Source organism: Homo sapiens, chromosome 7, assembly GCF_000001405.40.
Source record: "Homo sapiens chromosome 7, GRCh38.p14 Primary Assembly".
NCBI classification, from domain to species: Eukaryota; Metazoa; Chordata; class Mammalia; order Primates; family Hominidae; genus Homo; species Homo sapiens.
Genome location: NC_000007.14, coordinates 69282324 through 69304166, shown reverse-complemented (window position 1 = coordinate 69304166; position 21843 = coordinate 69282324). Strand labels below are relative to the sequence as shown.

General features: G+C 42.9%; 1 long non-coding RNA gene across 3 annotated transcripts; it reads left to right on the top strand.

Annotated features, from left to right (window-relative positions):
• On the top strand, positions 1–21213 carry LOC105375345 (uncharacterized). 3 transcript variants are annotated; one of them, XR_927650.3, is made up of 4 exons: positions 1–78; positions 13435–13571; positions 17859–18017; positions 20997–21213. It is a non-coding gene; the product is annotated as an uncharacterized LOC105375345 (long non-coding RNA). The 3 variants fall into 3 exon arrangements; XR_927651.3 differs by lacking the exon at positions 17859–18017 and adding an exon at positions 7786–7922 and having other exon boundaries at positions 13–78; XR_927649.3 differs by lacking the exon at positions 17859–18017.
• Positions 21214–21843: the final 630 nt, after the last annotated feature.

Genomic DNA, 21843 nt, shown 5'->3' with positions numbered 1-21843 from the left:
AATTAGTACAAGATTTCTGAAGGGAATCTGGCAATGTGTATCAAGAAACAACAACAAAAAATTATACCCTTTGAACCAGTAAGTCTATTTTTAGGAATTCAGCTTAAGGATATAGTCAGAGTCGCAGACCAAGATCAATGCCTGAAGATGATTATATAAAAAATGGGAAACTGCTTAAATGTTCAAGGATATTAGTTAAACCGTGGTGCAGTGATATGATAGACTCAAAGTCGTTCATTAAAATAATCACTCTGTTAACATTTAGTGATGTGGGAAAATGCTGATGATATTGTTTTTAGGGTAGATTATAAAAATCTACATACCATGCGGTCTTAGTTACATAAAAATTGCAAAAAAATCAACTAGAAAGAAATACATCAAACATTATTAATGGTTATTTTCAGTTATGAAACTATAGAATTATACTTATTAATTCTCTATATTTTGCTGTATTTTGAAATTTTTCTACAGTGAGCATGTCTAATGTGTTTTGTCTTTTTATTTTTAATTTAGTTTATTTAGGTAATGTGTTCCTGTGGGACAAAATCCAAAAGGTATAAAGATATATAGTGAAAAGTCTATTGTCAGCCAGGTGTGGTGGCTCACACCTGTAATCCCAGCACTTTGGGAGGCCAAGGTGGGCGGATCACTTGAGCCCAGGAGTTCGAGACCAGCCTGGCCAACATGGTGAAACCCTATTTTTCCCAAAAATACAAAAATTAGCTGGATGTGATGGTGGGCTCCTGTAATCCCAGCTACTTGGGTGGCTGAGGCAGGAGAATCCCTTGAGTCTGAGAGGTGGAGGATGCAGTAAGCCAAAATTGTGCCACTGTACTCCAGCCTGAGTGACAGAGCAAGACTCTGTCGCAAAAAAAAAAAAAAAAAGTTAATGTCCACATCTGTCTTCCACCCAACCAGTCATTCATTTATTCATCAATTGCCTATTTCTTCTCCTTGGAAGCAACTAATATTACTAATATAATGAGTTTACTTCCAAAGATATTCTATGCATATCCAAGCAAAAAACCCTACACGTATATCTTCTTTTTCTCTTCCTTATTTATATAAATAGTAGCCTACGTATATGCATGCCATTCTGTTCATTAAAAAAAACTTAATATGTTTTGGTAGTAATGCCTTATAAGGACATACAGAGATTCCTATAGTTTAGGAATTGTTCCATTCTTTGGAGGTATCTTAATTTATTTAAAGAAAACACTTAAGCTATTTTCAATCTTTTTTTGTTGTTGTTATAAAGAATGCCGTGATGAATAGCCTTGAACATAGGTCATTTCAATCACATATAATTTTTTTTTTTAATTTTTATTTTTAGTAGAGACAGGGTTTCACCATGTCGGCCAGGCTGGTCTCAAACCTCTGACCTCAAATGATCTGCCTGCCTCGGCCTCCCAAAGTGCTGGGATTACAGGCGTGAGCCACCACGCCCAACCCCCACATATATGACTTTTTTCATTAGTAACAGCTGATTATGACTGTCAATAAGACCTTAAGAGGTGGCTTGCCAAAGAGGCAAGATCTTGGTGTTCACGTCCAGTGTGTTAGATACACTGTTGATTGTAACAGAGCTGAGATGGGCAGGAGAGACAGGGAGGAAGGAAGCACCTTCATAGCTGAGATATGTAAGATGTGTCCTACAAACAGCATTAGTTAGGCTTATTCCCCAGAAAGCAGTGCAGTGGCGTGATCTCAGCTCACTGCAATCTCCGCCTCCCGGGTTCAAGCGATTCTCCTGCCTCAGCTTCTTGAGTAGCTGGGACTACAAGTGCGTGCCACTACACCTGGCTAATTTTTGTATTTTTAGTAGAGACGGGGTTTCACCATGTTGGCCAGGAGGGTATCGATCTCTTGACCTCGTGATCTGCCCGCCTCAGCCTCCCAAAGTGCTGGGATTACAGGCGTGAGCCACTGTGCCTGGCCAGGGCTTACCATTTTTTTAATATTAATTTTTGAAGACAAGGTCTCACTCTGTCACTCAGGCTGGAGCACCATCATAGCTCACTGCAGCCTCAAACTCCTGGGCTCAAGCGATCCTCCTGGCTTGGCCTCTCTAGTGGCTGGAAATACAGATGCAAGTCACCACATACAGCTAACTTAAAATTTTTTTTTTAGCGAAAGGGTCTTGCTTTGCTGCCCAAGCTGGTCTCGAACTTGTGGCCTCAAGTGATCCTCCTGCCTCAGCCTCCCAAAGTGCTGGGGCTATAGGCATGAGCCACGGTGACTGGCCTACAATTTTTTAAGATACTTCAGCAAACTTTGCGTCATTTGACTCACGTGGCTACCCTATGGAGTAGGGTAGGGTATTGAATAGCCCCATTTCATGGGCGAGGACAATTAGCAAGTACCTGGTTTCCCATTTGGCTACGATCCCAGTGTAGACTAGAGCCAGCTCTCTCAAGGTCCAGCCTCCAGTCTCTTTGTTTCTTCTTGCCTCCTGATCAAGATGTACATTACAACTTTAACCTTCGCAACTTCTTTCTTTTGACAACCATTTATAGCAAAGACAACTCATTCACTTACCGGGGGCAATATTTCACTACCAGCTTTTCTTGCAGGTTTTACCAGGATGTCACACTGCTTAAAAACGAGACCTTCTGTGTTTGATTTCTTCATTGAGATAGGATGGCTCTGGTGGGTTATTTCCAACTAAAAATATTGCAGCTGTTCTCGTTGGCATTGACTTGAGGGCTTCTGTCTCCAATTTATCTCAGTGTTGGAACAGACCCAGGGCTGTTTTCTGAGGAAAATCTTGGCCCTGCATGGAGCTACTCACTTCTCTTACCTCAAGCTTATATCCTTGTTGGGCTCTTTAATTTATAGATGAGGATGTCATACATACTCTGTGCTTTGCTGGCTGTTAAAGCATAAAGATCAGCCCTTCATCAGCAGTGTAGAGTGTCTGTAATCCAGGTCCTTGTTGGAGGGCAAAACCCTAAATTCGTTGCTGCTTAATTTTTTTTTTTTTTTAATAGAGACAGATTCTCACTCTGTCACCCTGGATGGATTGTGGTGGTGTAGACCATAGCTCATTTCAACCTTGAACTCCTGGGCTCAAGCCATCTTCCCACCTCAGCCACCAGAGTAGCTGGGATTACAGGCATGCACCATCATGCCTGGTTAATATTTTTTTGTATTTATTTTTAGACACAGGGTCTTGCTATGTTGCCCAGGCTAGTCTCAAACTCCTGGCCTCAAGTGATCCTTCCACCTTGACCTCCCAAAGCACTGGGCTTACGTGTATGAGCCATTGTGCCTGGTGGCTCACGCCTGTAATCCCAGCACTTTGGGAGGCTGAGGTGGGCAGGTCACCTGAGGTCAGCAGTTCAAGACCAGCCTGGCCAACATGGCGAAACCCTGTCTCTAGTAAAAAATACAAAAATTACCTGGGGGTGGTGGCGGGCACCTGTAGTCCCAGCTACTCAAGAGGCTGAGACAGGGAAAATTCCTTGAACCCGGGAGGTGGAGGTTGCAGTGAGCCGAGATTGCACCACTGCACTCCAGCCTGGGTGACAGATTGAGACTCCATCTCAAAAACAAAAACAGAAACAAATAGATACAGAGCACTTACTCTGTACCAAGAACCAGTTTACATGTTGAGAACACAGCAGTGAGCAAGACAAAGTTCTTACTCTCAAAGTGTTTATATTCTAGTTAGAGGGAACAGATAGACCTTAAATAAACAAGTACACCGGGCGCGGTGGCTCACGCCTGTAATCCCAGCACTTTGGGAGGCCGAGATGGGCGGATCACGAGGTCAGGAGATCGAGACCATACTGGCTAACACGGTGAAACCCCGTCTCTACTAAAAATACAAAAAATTAGCCGGGCGTGGTGGCGGGCGCCTGTAGTCCTAGCTACTCCGGAGGCTGAGGCAGGAGAATGGCGTGAACCCGGAAGGCGGAGCTTGCAGTGAGCCGAGATCACGCCATTGCACTCCAGCCTGGGAGACTGAGCGAGACTCCGTCTCAAAAAAACAAAAACGAAAACAAAAACAACAACAAATAGTAAACAAGTAAATATATAGTATGTCAGATAATGATAAATGCTATAGAGAAAGTTATGGCACTTTAAGGGAAAGAAAATAAAAAGATGTGTGTGTGTGTCCACGTATGTGTGTGTGCATGTGTGTGTGTATATATGTGTGTGTGCATGTGTGTATGTGTCTGTGTGTCTGTGTGTATACCATTTCATATTGGTGAGCCCAGGAAGGCTTCATAATCACGTGAGATTGGACATGGGCCTGAAGGAGTTGAGAGTGGGTGCCACTTAGATACGGGAGAAAAGAGCATACTAAATCCTCTGCTATGACACTGGCCCCTCTGCCATGGGAGGCGCGGAGGTCTGGAGGCTTCACTGGGCTTCTCATTTTGGAAAACAATAAGTTTACTTTAGTGAACAACAAGTTAAACTGCTGGAACAGAACAAGCAAGGGAAAAATGGAAAGAGTTGAGATAAGAAAAGTAACAGGACTGGACGCGGTAACTCATGCCTGTAATCCCAGCATTTTGGGAAGTTGAGGTGGGTGGATCACCTGAAGTCAGGAGTTCGAGAGCAGCCTGGCAAACATGGTGAAACCCTGTCTCTACTAAAAATACAAAAATTAGCTGGGCCTAGTGGTGGGCACCTGTAATCCCAGCTACTCGGGAGGCTGAGGCAGGAGAATCACTTGAACCCGGGAGGCGGAGGTTGCAGTGAGCTGAGACGGTGCCATTGCACTCCAGCCTTGGCAACAGAGCAAGACTCCATCTCAAAAATAAAGGTAATGGTGGTGTAGGTGATACATCTAGAATTTGTAGGTGTATTAGGCAGGGTTCTCTGGAGAAACAGAACCAATAGGAGACACACGTGTGCGCACACACACACACACACACAGAGTTGACCATTGAGCAACATGGGTTTAACATGGCTTCACGTATATGTGCATCTTGTTCTGCCTCTGCCACCCTGAGACAGCAAGACCAACCCCTTCTCTTCCTCCTCTCCCTTATCCTCCTCAATGCCAAGACGATGAGGATGAGGATAAAACCTTTACGATGATCCACTTCTTAATGGATAATAGATTATCTCTTCCTTATAATTTTCTTAATAATATTTTCTTCAGCTCACGTTATTGTAAGAATATAGTATGTAATATAATATACAAATTATGTGTTAATTGACTATGTTATCAGTAAGGCTTCTGGTCAATAGCAGGTTATTAATAGTGAAGTTTTGGGGGAGTAAAAAGTTATAGACAGATTTTTGGGCTGGGCGTGGTGGCTCACACCTGTGATCCCAGCACTTTGGCAGTCTGAGGCAGGAGGATCACTTGAGGTCAGGTGTTTGAGACCAGCTTGCCTAACATGGTCGAAACCCCATCTCTACCAAAAAATACAAAAATTAGCATGCAGCATGCATCTGTAGTCCCAGCTACTTGGGGGGCTGAGGCAGGAGAATCGCTTGAACCTGAGAGGCGGAGGTTGCAGTGAGCTGAGATAGCACCACTGCACTCCAGCCTGGGTGACAGTGAGACCCTGTCTCAAAAAAAAAAAAAAAAAAAGTTATAGGCGATTTTTGACTGCACGGGAAGTTGAATCCCCTAACCCTTGCATCATTCAAGGGTCAGCTCTGTATATATGTATGAAGTTATGTATATGTATATATATATAGAGAGAGAAGGAGACAGAGGTTGATAATGGCATTTATTATGTGGAATTTGCTCATGTGATTATGAAGGCTAAGAAATGCCAATATCTGCAATTGTCAAGCAGGAGACTCAGGAGAGCTGATGGTGTAAGTTCCATTCTGAGAGTGGCAGGCTCAAGTCCCCCGAAGACCCAATGTTTCAGTTCGAGCGTGAATGAAGGAAAGGACTGATGTCCCAGCTCATGCAGTCAGGCAGGAAGAATTCCTTCTCAGTCAGCCTTTTCATCTATTCAGGTCTTCTGTTGGCTGCAGGAGGCCCATGTACATTAGGGAGGGCAATTTGCTTGACTCAGTGTACCAGCGCAAATGTCCATCTCATGCGGAAACACCCTCATGAGCACATCGAGAATAATGTTGGACCAAATGTCTGGGCACCACATGACCTAGTCAAGTTAACCTAAAATTAACTCTCGCAGGAGACGATAGTAGTCATTCTGGTGTTTACTTGGAGTGACATGGAGAGCTACTGGAGAGTTTTAAACAGAGGAGATATGAGCAGACTCAAGTTCTAGCAACATCCTGGGCTGCTGTGCTGAGAATAGATTGTAGGTGATAGGACAGGGAAAGGGCAGCTGTTAGGGCTGGGAGACAAGTTAGGAGGCAACTGAAATAATCTAAGTAAGAAACATAGGTCACTTGTACTAGAATGCTACTGGTGGGGATGGTGTAAAAAGATCCTGGCTCTAGACACATTTTTTTTTTTTTTTTTTTTTTTGAGACGGAGTCTTGCTCTGTCACCCAGGCTGGAGTGCAGTGGTGCAATCTTGGCTCACTGCAACCTCTGCCTCATGAATTCAAGCAATTCTCCTGCCTCAGCCTCCTGAGTAGCTGGGATTACAGGCGCCCACCACCACACCTGGCTAATTTTTACATTTTTACTAGAGACAGGGTTTCACCATGTTGGCCAGGCTGGTCTCGAACCCCTGACCTCAAGTAATTCATCTGCCTCGGCCTCCCAAAGTACTGGGATTACAGGTGTGAGCCACTGCGCCTGGCCTCTAGACACATTTTTAAGATAGAGCCTCTGGGACCACACAGGGCTTTGTTCATAATTTTGTGATGGTGCCTTTCAGTTTGGACTGCAATTGTTTACTTGTTTATCTCCAGCATTGATTGCCATTCTATTAATCTTTGTAATAATAGCCACATAATAATAATGGCTAGCATTTTGGACTGTACTTTGTGTCAGGGACTGAACTTGGTGCCATATATATATAGTTTCATTTGATTCTCACATCAACTCTCTGAACATATTATTAATCCAATTTTCTCTAGGAGGTTCCTAAAGTCTGGATATATAGGTACTATTATTTTATATTTTTATTTATTTATTTTGGAAACAGGGCCTGGCTCTGTTGCGTTGGCTGGAGTGCAGGGGTACAATCATAGCTTACTGCAGCCTCAAACTCCCAAGCTCAAGTGATCCTCCCACCTCAATCTCCTGAGTGTCTGGGCCTACAGACATGCACTACCATGCCCTGCTGATTATTTTCATTTTTATTTTGTAGAGATGGAGTTTTGCTACGTTTTCCAGGCTGGAGTTCTATATTTTTAAGATTGAAGATGTCCTTGATGATATATGGTATATTTGCCTCCGTTTCAGACTTACAGACACAAGGAGGTACAGAAACTTTGGCTAGGATCTCACACCAATAAATGCCTAGCACTGTGTTTAGTACCTAGCGGGTATTGAGTGAGTGGCATTCTTCCCTTCATAAGTATTTACGGTACCCACCCTGTGCTAGACATATGAGGACTGGGAGACAACACCGAAAAGATAGTCAAAGCTGCTTTCACATGAAACTTCCATCATGAAACCCCCAAGTATGCCATTCTGATGCAGTGGCATACTTGGGTGCCAATGAGTGCCCACTGAGTGGAGGAATTGAAAAAATCCTTGGAGCAGTTAGTAGGGACAAGATAGTTGAGAATCTCGAATGCCCAGGTGAGAAGCTGTATTTAGATAAGAGATTGCAATGCTTGTAGTTGAGTAAAGGCAAGAAGACCTCTGGGATGTGGAACAACACAGGACAGTGCCTTCCCAGCGAATCCACTATTTCTTTCCCCCTCATTCCTCTACAGTGCAATCACAGAAAAGCACTGGCCTGATTGAAAACCCTACTCCTTCTTCTTGATGCTTGGCCAACAGGATGCCTTCTCATTTGGACTTCAAAGCAAGTGGCTGAGCAGCAAGAGAAGTCGCCCCCAGAGCTTGGAGAGTATGTTGACTCTGCAGCTGCTGTTTAGAGGAAATATTCGTTGGCAAGCAGCTGTGGTTTGCAGCTGAGCATATGGCTAGGAGTGGGGTGGTCCAGATTTCACCCAAGAGCCCCTAATGAGCCTGCAGCTGCTTCCAACGCTGCCTCCCTGTCCCTGCCCCATTCCCTGGCCTGCTCTGCCACCTCCATGACAATCTGCTCTGTACACAAGGCAGAGTTCATCTCTCCCACTGTGGGGTGCAGGAGGGACCAGAATCAGCTATCCCTTTCTGGTATAAGGTCACCCACTGGCACAATAGCCCAAGGAAGGTAGTGGGTAACACAGGGAACTCCCAAAGTGATCAGCTGTCCTGGAACTTGGTGATGGCTTTATACTAAAAGGCATAAAATGAAAACAGCCTTAATTTATTTGTTAGAGTCAGGGTCTCACTGTGTCACCCACGCTGGAGTACAGTGGCTTTCGTGATCATAGCTCACTGCAGCTCTGAACTCCTGTGTGATGGTTAATACTGAGTGTCAACTTGATTGGATTGAAGGGTACAAATTATTGATCCTGGGTGTGTCTGTGAGGGTGTTGCCAAAAGAGATTAACATTTGAGTCAGTGGGCTGGGGAAGGCAGACCCACCCTTCACCTGGTGGGCACCATCTAATCAGCTGCCAGCAAATATAAAGCAGGCAGAAAAATGTGAAAAGAAAAGATTGGCCTAGCCTCCCAGCCTACATCTTTCTCCCGTGCTGGATGCTTCCTGCCCTTGAACATTGGACTCCAAGTTCTTCAGTTTGGGGACGCAGACTGGCTCTCCTTGCTCCTCACCTTGCAGACATATATATATCCTATTAGTTATGTCCCTCTATAGAACCCTGACTACTGCTTCTAAGAAATTGTCACAAACGTGGTGACTTAAAACAGTATGAATCTATTCTCTTAGAGTCCTGCAAGCCAGAAGTATCAAACAAGTTTCGCAGGGCTAAATTCAAGGTATTGGCAGGACCAGCTCCTTCTGGAAGCTCTAGGAGAGAATTCATTTTCCTGCTTTTCCCAGCTTCTGGGATCTGCCTGCACTGCTTGGCTCATGGCCCCTTCCTCACACCACTTCAGCCCCTTGCTTGTGTCCTCACAGCTCCTGCTCCTCTTCTGTAAGTCAGATCTCCCCAAGACTCCCTCCAATAAAAAGGACACTTGTGATTATATGAGACCCACCCAGATATCCAGTGTAATCCCCTATCTCAGGATCCTGAACTTAGTCACATCTTTAGGCCAGGTGCTGTGGCTCACATCTGTAATCCCAGCACTTTGGGAGGCCGAGGCTGGTGGATCACTTGAGGTCAGGAGTTCGAGACCACCCTGGCTAACATGGTGAAATCCTTCTCTACTAAAAATACAAAAATTAGTTGGGTGTGGTGGCAGGTGTCTGTAATCCCAGCTACTAGGGAGATTGAGGCAGGAGGTTCGCTTGGACCTGGGAGGTGGCAGTTGCAGTGAGCCATGATCGCACCACTGCATTCCAGCCTGGGTGATAAGAATGATACCCGATCTCAAAAAACAAACAAACAAAACAAAACAAACAACAACAACAACAAAAAAAAACCCAACTACATGTTCAAAGCTCCTTTTGCTATGAAAAGTAACATTCATTGATTCCAGGGATTAGGATGGGGAGATCTTTTGGGGCCATTGTTTAGCCTACCACAGTGAGTATCTGGGTCACTTCAGCTCCATTAGCTCTTCCACACAGTCAGAATTTGGCACATAGACTCACACCAATAATATGCACTTACGTATTCTTTTAAAACATTTTTATTTTATTTTTTCTAGGTGCAGATTCTCACTCTGTTGCCCAGGATGGAGTGCAGTGACACCATCTTGGCTCACTGCAGCCTTGATCTCCTGGGCTTAAGCAATTCTCCTGCCTCAGCCTCCTGAGTAGCCAGGACAATAGGCATGTGTCATCTTACCTAGCTAATTTTTAATTTTTCTTTGTAGAGATGGGGTCTTTCTATATTGCCCGGGCTGGTCTCAAACTTCTTGTCTCAAGTGGTCTCCCAACCTCAGCCTCCTGAGTAGCAGGGACTACAGGCATGCACCACCATGCCCAGCTAGTTATTTTATATTTTGGAGACATGAGGGCTGGCCATTTTGCCCAGGCTGGTGTCGAACTCCTGGCCTCAAGCGATTCTCCTGCTTCAGTCTCTTGAGTAGCTGGTGCACTTATGTATGGATGGATTCTTTCCAAAGTTTTTTTGTCTTGATCTGCCCTCCATTCTAATCACCCCTCTACTACGGCAGCAAAGTAGATAGGGCAAAGTTTGTTCTCTGAAACTTAGCGTGGTGAAGCATGAAGCTAGTTCCATGGTAAGATCCCAGCACTCCTCTGTCAGCCCACACTAAGCGTGTCTTTGATCATTGCTGCAATGTCAATAACAATGATTTCTCCCTTCATGATTAGCACCACTTGAGCTAGGTCTAAATGATATCAAAACAGCCAGTCAATTTAGTCAATTTACTCAGTCTGTCAATTTAGTAGAAAATAAAGAAATCAATGAAGTTAGTGGTTGGAGTGAATTGACAGGTTGTCTCACGGATTTAGTTGAGTCTGAAAACTGTATAGACAGTTCCAGAGATGACAGTCCCACCACCCTAAAAGGCCACTCTAAAATCATGGTGATGAAAACAACACCCTTTCTCCAAATTTTCAGGGATGATAACTATTTCAAGCAATTTCACAATCATGATCTAATTTTGTTGTGCCAACATCCCGAGGCAGTTAGGACCATTGAAACAGGGAAGCTAGATAAGAAATTTGGGGTGTGCATGGTGGTGTGCACCTGTAATCCCAGCCCTTTAGGGGGCTGAGGTGGGAGGATCGACTGAGACCAGGAGGTGGAGGCTGCAATGAGCTATGATCACACCACTGCACTCCAACCTGGGCAACAGGGCACGACCCTGTCTCTGGAAAGGAAGGAAGGAAGGGAGGGAGGGAGGGAGGGAGGGAAGGAAGGAAGCTAGGAAGGAAGAAACTAGGAAGGAAGGAAGCTAGGAAGGAAGGAAAAAAGGAAAAAATTTGAAGATTCACAACTGATATGGTTTGGCTCATCTTGAATTGTAATAATCTCCACGTGTCAAGGATGGGGCCAGGTGGAGATAATTAGATCATGGGGGTAGCTTCCCCCACCCTGCTCTTGTGGTAATGAATAAGTCTCATGAGATCTGATGGTTTTATAAATAAGAGTTCCCCTGCACAAGCTCTCTTGCCTGCCACCATGTACGTTGTGATTTTACTCCTCTTTCGCCTTCCACCATGATTGTGAGGTCTCCCCAGCTGTGTGGAGCTGTGAGTCCATTAAACCTCCTTCCTTTATAAATTACTCATTCTTGGGTATGTCTTTATTAGCAGCATGAGAACAGACTAATACAACAATAATAACAATAACAATATGCATCTCCTAAAATGCGCTAAGAACTGATTTAAACACTTAACATATATTAGCTCATTTAACCCTCTCAACAAGTCTACAAGGTAGGAACTACTGTTACTTACATTTTATGAGATGTAAGTTAAGGGCAGAGCTGGGATTCCAAGTTAGATCTCTTAACAACCTGCTTTCCCTCTAGATCAGAAGTTCTCAACCCCGGTTGCACATTCGATTCACTAGAGAGCCTGAAAATATGAAAAGTCATTCACATAAGGTCATGCATTGCAGCTCTGTTTGTAATAGCAAAAAACTGGAAATAACCCGGAAAGAGAGCTATGGCATGTTCCCATGACAGACTACTAAAAAGGAATGAGGAAGATCTCCACATGGCATAGGGAAGGATTTCCAGCAGGGAGTGAAAAAAGCAAAGTGTGTGGTATGCTGCTTTCATTCAAGAAAGGGAAGGATCATGTTTATATGTGTGACATAAATCACATTACATATGTATGTATATATGTTTCTATGTGTATATGTATTTATATTTTAATATAAGTAAACATACATGTATATATGCATACGTGCATTCCTTAAAGTATACGCATATACATGTATATTCTTTTATGTTTTATTATAAGGAAAATACATGTATATGCATATTCCTTAATATAAAGAAATATACATATATACATGTATATTTCCTTAATATAAGAAATATATGTCTATATACATATATATACACATATATATATATAGAAAATACATGGGCTGGACACGGTGGCTCACGCCTGTAATCCCAGCACTTTGGGAGGCGGAGGCGGGCGGATCACCTGAGGTCAGGAGTTCGAGACTAGCCTGGCCAAGTTGGTGAAACCCCATCCCTACTAAAAATACAAAAATAACTGGGCATGTGCCTGTACTCAGGAGGCTGAGGCAGGAGAATTGCTTGAACCCAGAAGGCAGAGGTTGCAGTGAGCTGAGATCGTGCCATTGCACTCAGGCCTAGGTAATGAGTGAAACTCCATCTCAAAAAAAAAAAAAAAGGATAAGAAAATACATATAACATTTCTTTACATGTATATATGTATATTTCCTTATATATGTGTGTATGTATACATAGATATACATGTAAATGTCCTTATATTAAAATATATAAACTATAAAATTAAATTTAATAAAAAGGATCCCTGTAGGAAGAGAGAGGGAGTAGAATTGGGGTAGGGGCAGGGATAAGAAGCTGAACTTCTTTGCACCATTTTTTGACTTGACTTTTTGTCTTTTGAACCATATAAATATTTTATGTAATTGTAAAACCAAATTAATTAAAAATAAGCAATTCCAAAATATGAAGATAAAATGAAACAAATGAATCCAAATATTTTATCTGGTTGGAATAAAACAGAAAGAATTAACGATTCCAAGTACCTGTAAAATGTAGTAATTTATTGCTTCTTGGCCTTTTCTATCTCCTGAAATGTGCTAAAAACTGATTGAAGCACTTACATATATTAGCTCATTTAATCTCTCAAGAAATCTATAAGGTAGGAACTATTATAACTGATTTTATGAGGCATAAGTTAAGGGCAGAGCTGGGATTCAAAGTTAGTATCTGTTCTTGATCTACGCTGTTAGATCAAGTGCAGTATCTGTTCTCAAGAGTTTAAAAATGTAGAAAGTTGACTATACATCCTTAGTAAAATATACCCTAAGGACAAAAAGCTGGGAAAAATTTAAACTGTTTTCAGTAATCATATTGTTGATAGTAGTTGATACCATCTTTGGAGACTATTGTGTGTTGTATGGGATAAAACAAATGAATAATTATAAACAGATTTCTTTTTTTAACACGAGAGTTTACACATGTAAAACCAATGAACTAAGAACTCTGTAGTCCAGAATTTGAATTAGAAATATGATATAAACTCATATTTTCTTCAAAAACAAAGCACTTTTTATAGTTCTGTCCTCTAAAAAGGTCTAGAAACAGTTACCAACTCAGTAGCAATAAGTACCCTTAGCCCCCAGATTGTCATCTCTAAATACTATTTTGCACAAAAACAAACCAGCGCCTCTTAAAGAAATAAACTGCCTAAATTCTAGGTTTGGGGCAGGAATGTATACATAAGTCTGGAACATCTTGCCACACCAGACACAAGGATCATCTGTTAGCGATGACAACAGAAGGATCATCTCAGAAGGACTCAGGAGCCAAACTAAATACACTCTCCCTGCCAAAGGTAGGGTAATTCAATCAGAATAAGAGTAATAATAGCAGCGGATTGAAGCCATCAAATATGTTCATATTAGTGAGTTCTTAATGATACTGGAAGAAACCACAACTACAAACCTTCGGTCACCTTGGGAGAATGCTAGGGATCCAGTTCCTTCTTTTGGAAGCTGGTAAATGAAGTGAAGTTATCAAGTATTTATTCTGCCTTTCTTATTTGAACCATACCTTATATGTGCATATGCATATGCACTATACACGTATATTTCCTTATCCACAAAGTGGATAAAAGAACGTTTCTCTTTATGGAAGCATTCTAGCAAACAATTCTAAATCCATAGAATTGAATTTTTTTTGTTTTTTGTTTTTTTGAGACAGAGTCTCACTCTGTGGCCCTGGTAGGAGTGCAGTGGCGTGATCTCAGCTCACTGCAGCCTCCGCCTCCCGGATTCAAGCAATTCTCCTGCCTCAGCCTCCCGAGTAGCTGGGATTACAGGCACATGCCACGATGCCTGGCTAATTTTTTGTATTTTTAGTAGAGACAGGTTTCGGCTTGTTGGCCAGGATGGTCTTGAACTCCAGGCCTCAAGTGATCTGCCTGCTTTGAACTCCCAAAGTGCTGGGATTACAGGCATGATTACATAGCACCCGGCTGGTAAATTTCTTTTAATCTATAAGTTACTCCTCTTCCTTTCCTTTTTACTGAGCAATTTTTTAAAGAAGAAATGAGGACAGTGTCTTGCAGAGTTTCTTTTCATCCAGATTTTGCTGATTGAAGCTCCATGATGTAATTTAACACACTGTCCCTGTATTTGCTGAAAATTGGTAGTTAGATCTGGAGACCTAATACATTTCAATTTTGAATTATTTGATAAGACTACTTCATAGGTAGTGGTGTATACTCACATCAAAGATACTTCATGTCTCATTGCCTCTTTTTTGTGATGGTAACAGTCACTAATAATCATTGACCAGATTCATTAGTGTATCAGGAATTTCAAAAAGACAATATTCTAGTCAGGCATGGTGGCTTACACCTGTAATCCCAGCACTTTGGGAGGCTGAGGCAGGACCATTTCTTGAGGCCAGGAATTAAATACTAGCCTGGGCAACATAGTGAGATCCTATCTCTACAAAAAATACAAAGAAATTAGCTGGGTGTGGTGGTGTGTGCTTGTAGTCCCAGCTGCTCAACACTTGAGCTTAGGAATTCAAGGTTGCAGGGAGGCAATGACTGTGCCATTGCATTCCAGCCTAGGTGACAGGCTGGAACGTGTATATACACATTATATACACATGCACATACATACATATATGTCTATAATATATATTATATATTATTTAATCTTTAAAATAATATCGATAATATATATTAAAGACATATATATGTATTGTGTATATAATGTGTATATATAATGATGTATATAAAATGTGTATGTATGTATATAAAATAATGTGTATATATGTTTATAAAACAACAGGGGAAATTAGATTTTGACTGATTATTTGAGAAATTATTGTTATATGAGAGATTATTAATTTTTTGTGTGATAATGATATTGTGGTTTTTTTTTTTAAAGTGTTCTCTTTTTTTAGGAAATATAATCTGAATATCAAGTAAATATGGCATCTGGAATTTGCTTCAAAATAATTATTTTTGGGCCAGGCCCAGTGGCTCATGCCTGCAATCCCAGCACTTTGGGATGCCAAGGCCGGTGGATCACCTGAGGTCATGAGTTGGAGACCAGCCTGGCCAACATGAGGAAATCCTGTCTTTACTAAAAATACAAAAATTAGCTGAGTGTGGTGGCAGATGCCTGTAATCCCAGCTACTTGGGAGGCTGAGACAGGAGAATCACTTGAACCTGGGAGGCATAGGTTGCAGTGAGCCGAGATTTCACCACTGCACTCTAGCCTGGGCAACAAGAGTGAAACTCCATCTCAAAAAAAAAAAATTATTATTTTGGGGTGGAGAGGGAAGTGGGTGGAAGCAGAGGTTGACACAAGATTGATCCGTAGTTGTGAGTTACTGATATTTGATGAGGTACATGAGGGTTCATCATGGTGATCTCTGTAAATTGTGTGTTCTTAAAATTTTCTATCTAAAATGTTAAAAAGTTATGGAGTAAAAATCCTTATCAAATTGCCTGTGGTAGTGTCTGGGTTCAGTTTTGTCTTTCCCTTTTAAAGCTCCCTAGGTGATTTTAATATGCAACCCAAATTCCAGAACCTTCTTTGATTTTCCTTAACAACCTTTCTGCACTGGGGTTTGGAACTCAGTCCCTCTAGAGAGACGCCGTCCTGGGGAGGCAACTCTCTCCCTTGTGATGGACTTCATCTCGAAACTTTTTCATTTACTTTGGTTTCAGGGTTGCAAGATCTATTTTTCTATTAGTTTTTCTAATTTCCCCAGCTGGTTTGAAACTTCAGGAAGTTAATAGCCATTTTGTATTTGGCTTATTTTGCCCTCGAGACCTCGGAGAATGCCTGCCAGTAATGAGCTGACCCATTTTTAGAAACAGGGTGTGGTTCTTAAGACTTCGCTGTCTCTTTCCTTCAAACAGGAAATGCTCATGTTCATGGGCATCTGCTTGGAAATCAGTTCAATTCAATTTTAAGATGCTAGATAGGCCAGGCGTGGTGGCTTACACCTGTAATCCCAGCACTTTGGGAGGCTGAGGCGGGAGGATTGCTTGCGACCAGGAGTTTAAGACCAGCCTGGGCAACACAGCCACTCCCTAGCTCTACAAAAACTTAAATGAAAAATTACCCAGGTGTGGTGGCACATGCCTGTAGTCCCAGCTACTCAGGAGGCTGAGGCAGGAGGATCACTTGAGCCCAGGAATTCAAGGCTGCAGTGAGCCATGATCACTCCACTGCACTTCAGCCTGGGAGAAAGAGTGAGGTTCCATTTCAAAAAAAGGAAGGAAGGAAGGAAGGAAGGATGGAAGGAAGGAAGGAAATGCACGCATGGCTGTTGGAGGGAGTTAGCAATCATTCAGGAGGAGGAAGCGAGTGTGAGAAATTCCTAAGGGGAGGCCAGGCATTGTGGCTTACATCTGTAATCCCAGCACTTTAGGAGGCCGAGGCAGGGGAATCACTTAAGGTCAGGAGTTCAAGACCGCCTGGCCAACATGGTGAAAACCCGTCTCTGCTAAAAATACAAAGATTTGCCGGGTGTGGTGGTGCATGCCTGTAGTCTCAGCTACTCAGGAGGCTGAGGCAGAAGAATCACTTGAACCCAGGAGGTGGAGGTTGCAATGAGCTGAGATTGTGCCACTGCAGTCCAGCCTGGGTGACAGAGTAAGACTCTGTCTAAAAAAAAAAAAAAAAAAAGAAAGAAAAGAAAAGAAAAAAGAGAGAAATTCCTAGGAGGCCTCTTCTTCTACCCACCTGCCTTGAGTTTTTAATCAGATCAGGGAGAGCCCTGTGGGATGCAGTTTCAAATGAGCCCCTCATGAATGGAGGGCAAGGACTGTTTGTACTGGAGCTGATGAACTCCCAGGAAGACTGTGGACCCAAGGACCACCCCTTAATCCCATGCACAAAATGCTGGACAAGAACAGAACTTCCCCAGAGTGGGACAAGAATGTTGGGTCTATCAGCTCCGTCTAGCAACACTGGTTGGGTGCAACCTACACAGTCGCACAGGGTCAGGCACTTGGTTGATGCTCTGCTATCGCTGTCTTGAAATTCGTAATCATTTTTAAATAAGAGGTCCTACATTTTCATTTTGCACTGGCTCCCTGCCAATTTTGTCCTGTTGAGAGGAATGATTTTGAATGTGATGTTGTGGGGAGGGTCAAACCATCTCTTGATTCAGGCCCAAAAGATCTGGTAACTTGGAAGCCTAGGGGTGTATTAAACAAAATTTTCTTTCTTTTTCTTTTTCCTTTTTTTTTTTTTTTTTTTTTGAGAAGGACTTTCACTCTTGTTGCCCGGGCCGGAGTGCAATGACACGATTTCAGCTCACCGCAACCTCCACCTCCTGGGTTCAAGCGATTCTCCTGCCTCAGCTTCCCAAGTAGCTGGGATTACAGGTGTGCACCACCACGCTCGGCTAATTTTTGTATTTTTAGTAGAGATGGGGTTTCATCATGTTGGCCAGGCTGGTCTCGAACTCCTGCCCTCAAGTGATCTGATTGCCTCGGCCTCCCAAAGTGTTGGGATTTCAGGCGTGAGCCACTGCACCTGGCCCTTCATTTTCAAATATGCTGAATAATAGGATTTAATTAAAAGGGACATGATTGAACATCAACATAGTAGCCAAAATAGCCTCTGAAAAATTATTTTACAGCAGCAGTTCTCCAAGTGAGGTCCCTGGACCAGCAACAATCAGCATTATCCAGAAAATGTGAATTCTCAGGCCCTACCCAGATCTGTGGAAGCAGAAACTCTTGGGGTAGAGCTTAACAATCTGTGGGTTAAGAAGTCCTCTGGGTAATTCAAATGCATGGTAAGGCACCTCCCCTTGCACATTAAACCCTGTTGAATTATGAATTGATCTGACACCCTCCCACATGTGAGAACCTGACTGTTTACAAAGGAAGAGCTTTCCCACCCCCTGGCTCATCTGACTGTTTACAAAGGAAGAGCTTTCTCACCCCTGGCTCATTTGTTGTGATTGACACCTGGGCCACCACACAGCCCTCTTAGCTACTTCTTATTGTTCCCAGTCTTTAAAATCTACCTCATGGAGTTTTCATCAAGTTACAATTCCACCTAGCAGAAGATTACAGGAGAAGAAGTAGAGTAAGAAATGCAAATGGGAGAGCTTCATGTGAAAAAGGACAAAAGATGGAGGGGATATTTGGTTGATTTTTGCCAGCTATTGCAGTCTCTTTCTCATTTATCTATCATATCTATGTATCTATCCATGTATGTATATATGTATCATCTATCTATCATCTATCTATCTATCTATCTATCTATCTATCTATCTATCTATCTATCTATATTAGTCTGTCCTCAAGCTGCTATGAAGAAATGCCCGAGACTGGTTAATTTATAAAGAAAAGAAGATTAATTGACTTACAGCTCCACATGGCTGGGGAGGCCTCAGGAAACTTACAATCATGGTGGAAGGCACCTCTTCACAGGGCGGCAGGAGAGAGAATGAGTGAAAGCAGGGGAAATGCAAGATGCTTATAAAACCATCAGATCTTGTGAGACTCACTCATTGTCACGAGAACAGCATGGGGAAAGCTGCCCCCATGATTCAATTACCTCCACCTGGTCCTGCCCTTGACATGTGGAGATTATGGGAATTACACTTCAAAGTGAGATTTGGGTGGGGACACAGAGCCAAATCATCTCTCTATCTGTCTCTATCTATCTATCTATCTATCTATCTATCTATCTATCTATCTATCATCTATTTATCTATCTGTATATCATCTATCTATTATCTATCATCTATCTGTGTTTGTCTACCTTTCTTCTATTTATGTAACTATCCTCGTGTATGACCTTCTGTCAGTCTGTCTGTCCCTCTGTGTACCTGTCTCTTTGACCGTCTACCTATATGTCTGTATGTGTATCTATTCATGTATTTGCATTTTGTTTTTTTGAGACAGAGTCTCACTCTGTTGCTCAGGCTAGGCTGGAGTACACTGGTGCGATCTTGGCTCACTGCAACCTCCGCCTCCCAGGTTCAAATCATTTTCCTGAGTAGCTGGGATTACAGGCATGCACCACCACGCCCGGATAATGTTTATATTTTTAGTAGAGATGGGGTTTTGCCATGTTGGCTAAGCTGGTCTTAAACTCCTGAACTCAGGGTGATCCGTCCCCCTCAGCCTCCCAAAGTGCTGGGATTACAGGCGTGAGCCACTGCACCCAGCGTACATATTTTTTTTAACTGAGATGAAGGATAATGGAGAGTGAAAAGGAAGGGAAAGAGGGGGAAAAGGACTTGAGTAAAATTTGTAACCTCTAGGAGCCTCAGATTCTTCAGATGTCAAAGAAGCATGTGTGTGAGTGGGGGTGAGCGAGTACAGATGTTGTTGTGTGTGTGTGTAAAACTGTCATTTCACAAGATTCTCATCAGGCTTTGGTGAGTACATTTGTTCCAACAAATCTTCTGACCCACACACAACGTGGTCAGTTAATGGGAATAGCAGTTGAGCCTGAAAGGGGAAGGAATGGGGGACAGGAGGGGAAGGAGGGGACTGTGAGGTGCAAGCTGATCAAGAGGGAGGAGGTGGAGAAGGCAGGAGAAAAGCGCATTGCAGGAAAGACAATTGCAGAGAAGAAGATTGCAGGTTCAGGGCCAGGCTGAGGTGGCGGGAGCAGGTTAAGTCAAATGATTACAGACGGTGAAAGGGGAGTCGAAGGTGGAAGAGCCTAGAGGTGTTCTAATAAAGACATGCCAGAAATAAGGGGGAAAAGCACTTTTTATGGCAGCAGCCAAAGAACCTAAATGAACATGTCTTTAAATGAATTGCTGTTGATGTTTCATGAGCCAAAATGTGCCAAGACTGCCTGGGGATGCTTCTCCCACCACTTTCCCACCCACTCCTGACCAAGTCGTGAAAATATATACCTGCTTCTCTCTCCAAGTCGTTCTGCCAACTAATTATCTGTAAAGATTCAAATCATGAACTGAAACACCACAGCTTTTTATGGGCACTAGGGGAGTATTAAATAGGGAGATTGGAAGCAAAATTAAAGTTCCCCCAATAGATTTTGTGGGGGGATTGATAAAAATCTGCTTTTAATTAAAAATATAAAGAAACAAGACCTCCTATGCATAAACAGGGAAGTCTTTGGGGCCTGGTCCCATGGGCAAATGCTGACAGATGCCTACTGGGATTTCGGCCTCTGCTGCCTGGTTTGTGGGCCTCCGGGAGGAGTGATTGATGGGCTGGCTGGATTTTCGGCTGAGAGGCCTCGCTAATAGATACACGAAAACAGAGGCTGTAATGCAGCTCACAAGATGAAGTAATGCGCTTGCCTCTGTCTAGGTGGGGAATTCAGCCAAGCCCTGTGTTTTAAAGAAAATGAGGCTTTTGTGGTTCTTGGCATGGGCTCACCAGTGCAGGCTAACCTTGGCACCCGTGTGCTAGGCTTTCTCTAGCATGTGGCTGCGGGATTGACATGGGCTCAGAGACTATCCAAGGGCAAGGATACTGGGTTCTGGGGACTTTCCACCTCCAAGCCTGTTCCTGTGTCATCAAAGGCATGGCGATCTACTTAGTTGCTCAAGCTCAAAAGCTAGGAATCAGCTTTCATTCTTCCCAAATCGCAAATGTATCTTAAATCTGTTCATTTTTCTCTGTTTTTCATTGCTACCACCCTATGTCCACCACCAACATCTCCTACCTGAATTCTATAAAGACCTCTCAATTAATCTGTTATTTCCATTGCTCACCCCTCCCCAATCCACCTTCCTGCTAAAGTCCAAATAATTCTTTTTTTGTGCAATCCTCGGCAGGAAATACATTACAGCCCAGTGCTTCCTACAGGAACTGAAAAACCAGATGGCCTGGATTTGAATTCCGGCTTCCACCTCCTACAGGCTCTGTGAGCTTGGCAAGCTCCTTAACCTCCCTGTGCCTCAGTTTCCTCGGCTGTAAGATGGGGACAATGGTACCTACCTCACACAAATTTTTGAGAATTGATTTGGTGTAAATAAAGTACTTATAACAATACCTGATAGTTAATGTTAATTTACTATACATATAAGTCTTAGTAAACATATGCACCTTGCTATAAATACAATGGCTAGCTATTATTTTGCTTATTATTCTCATCAACTTCCCCTTACTTTTATTTTTATTTATTTATTTATTTTAGAGACAAGGTCTTGCTCTGTGGCCCAGGCTAGAGTGCAGTGGTGTGATCATAGCTCACTGCAGCCTCGAACTCCTGGACTCAAGTGATCCTCTCACCTCAGCCTCTAGAGTACCTGAGACTACAGGCATGTGCCACCATGCCCAGCTAATTTATTATTTTTTTTTTTTTGTAAACACAGGGTCTCACTATGTTGCCCAGGCTGGTCTCAAACTCCTAGCCTCAAGTGATCCTCCCATCTTGGCCTCTCAAAGTGTTGGGATTATAGGTGGGAGCCACTGCGCCAGGCTCCCCTTGCTTTTAGACAATCCCAGACTTCTCTGCATGACTCCAAGGCCATGCATCATGTGGGTTCCACTGGTGTCTCCAATCCCTGGTTCTCTCACTCACTGTGCTCCAGCCACACTGGCCTCTCTGTTCCTCAGAGCAGGATAAGGAGCAAGACTAGACTGATGATTGAGAGCTGGTGTCCTTGTCTGCAGGAGGAG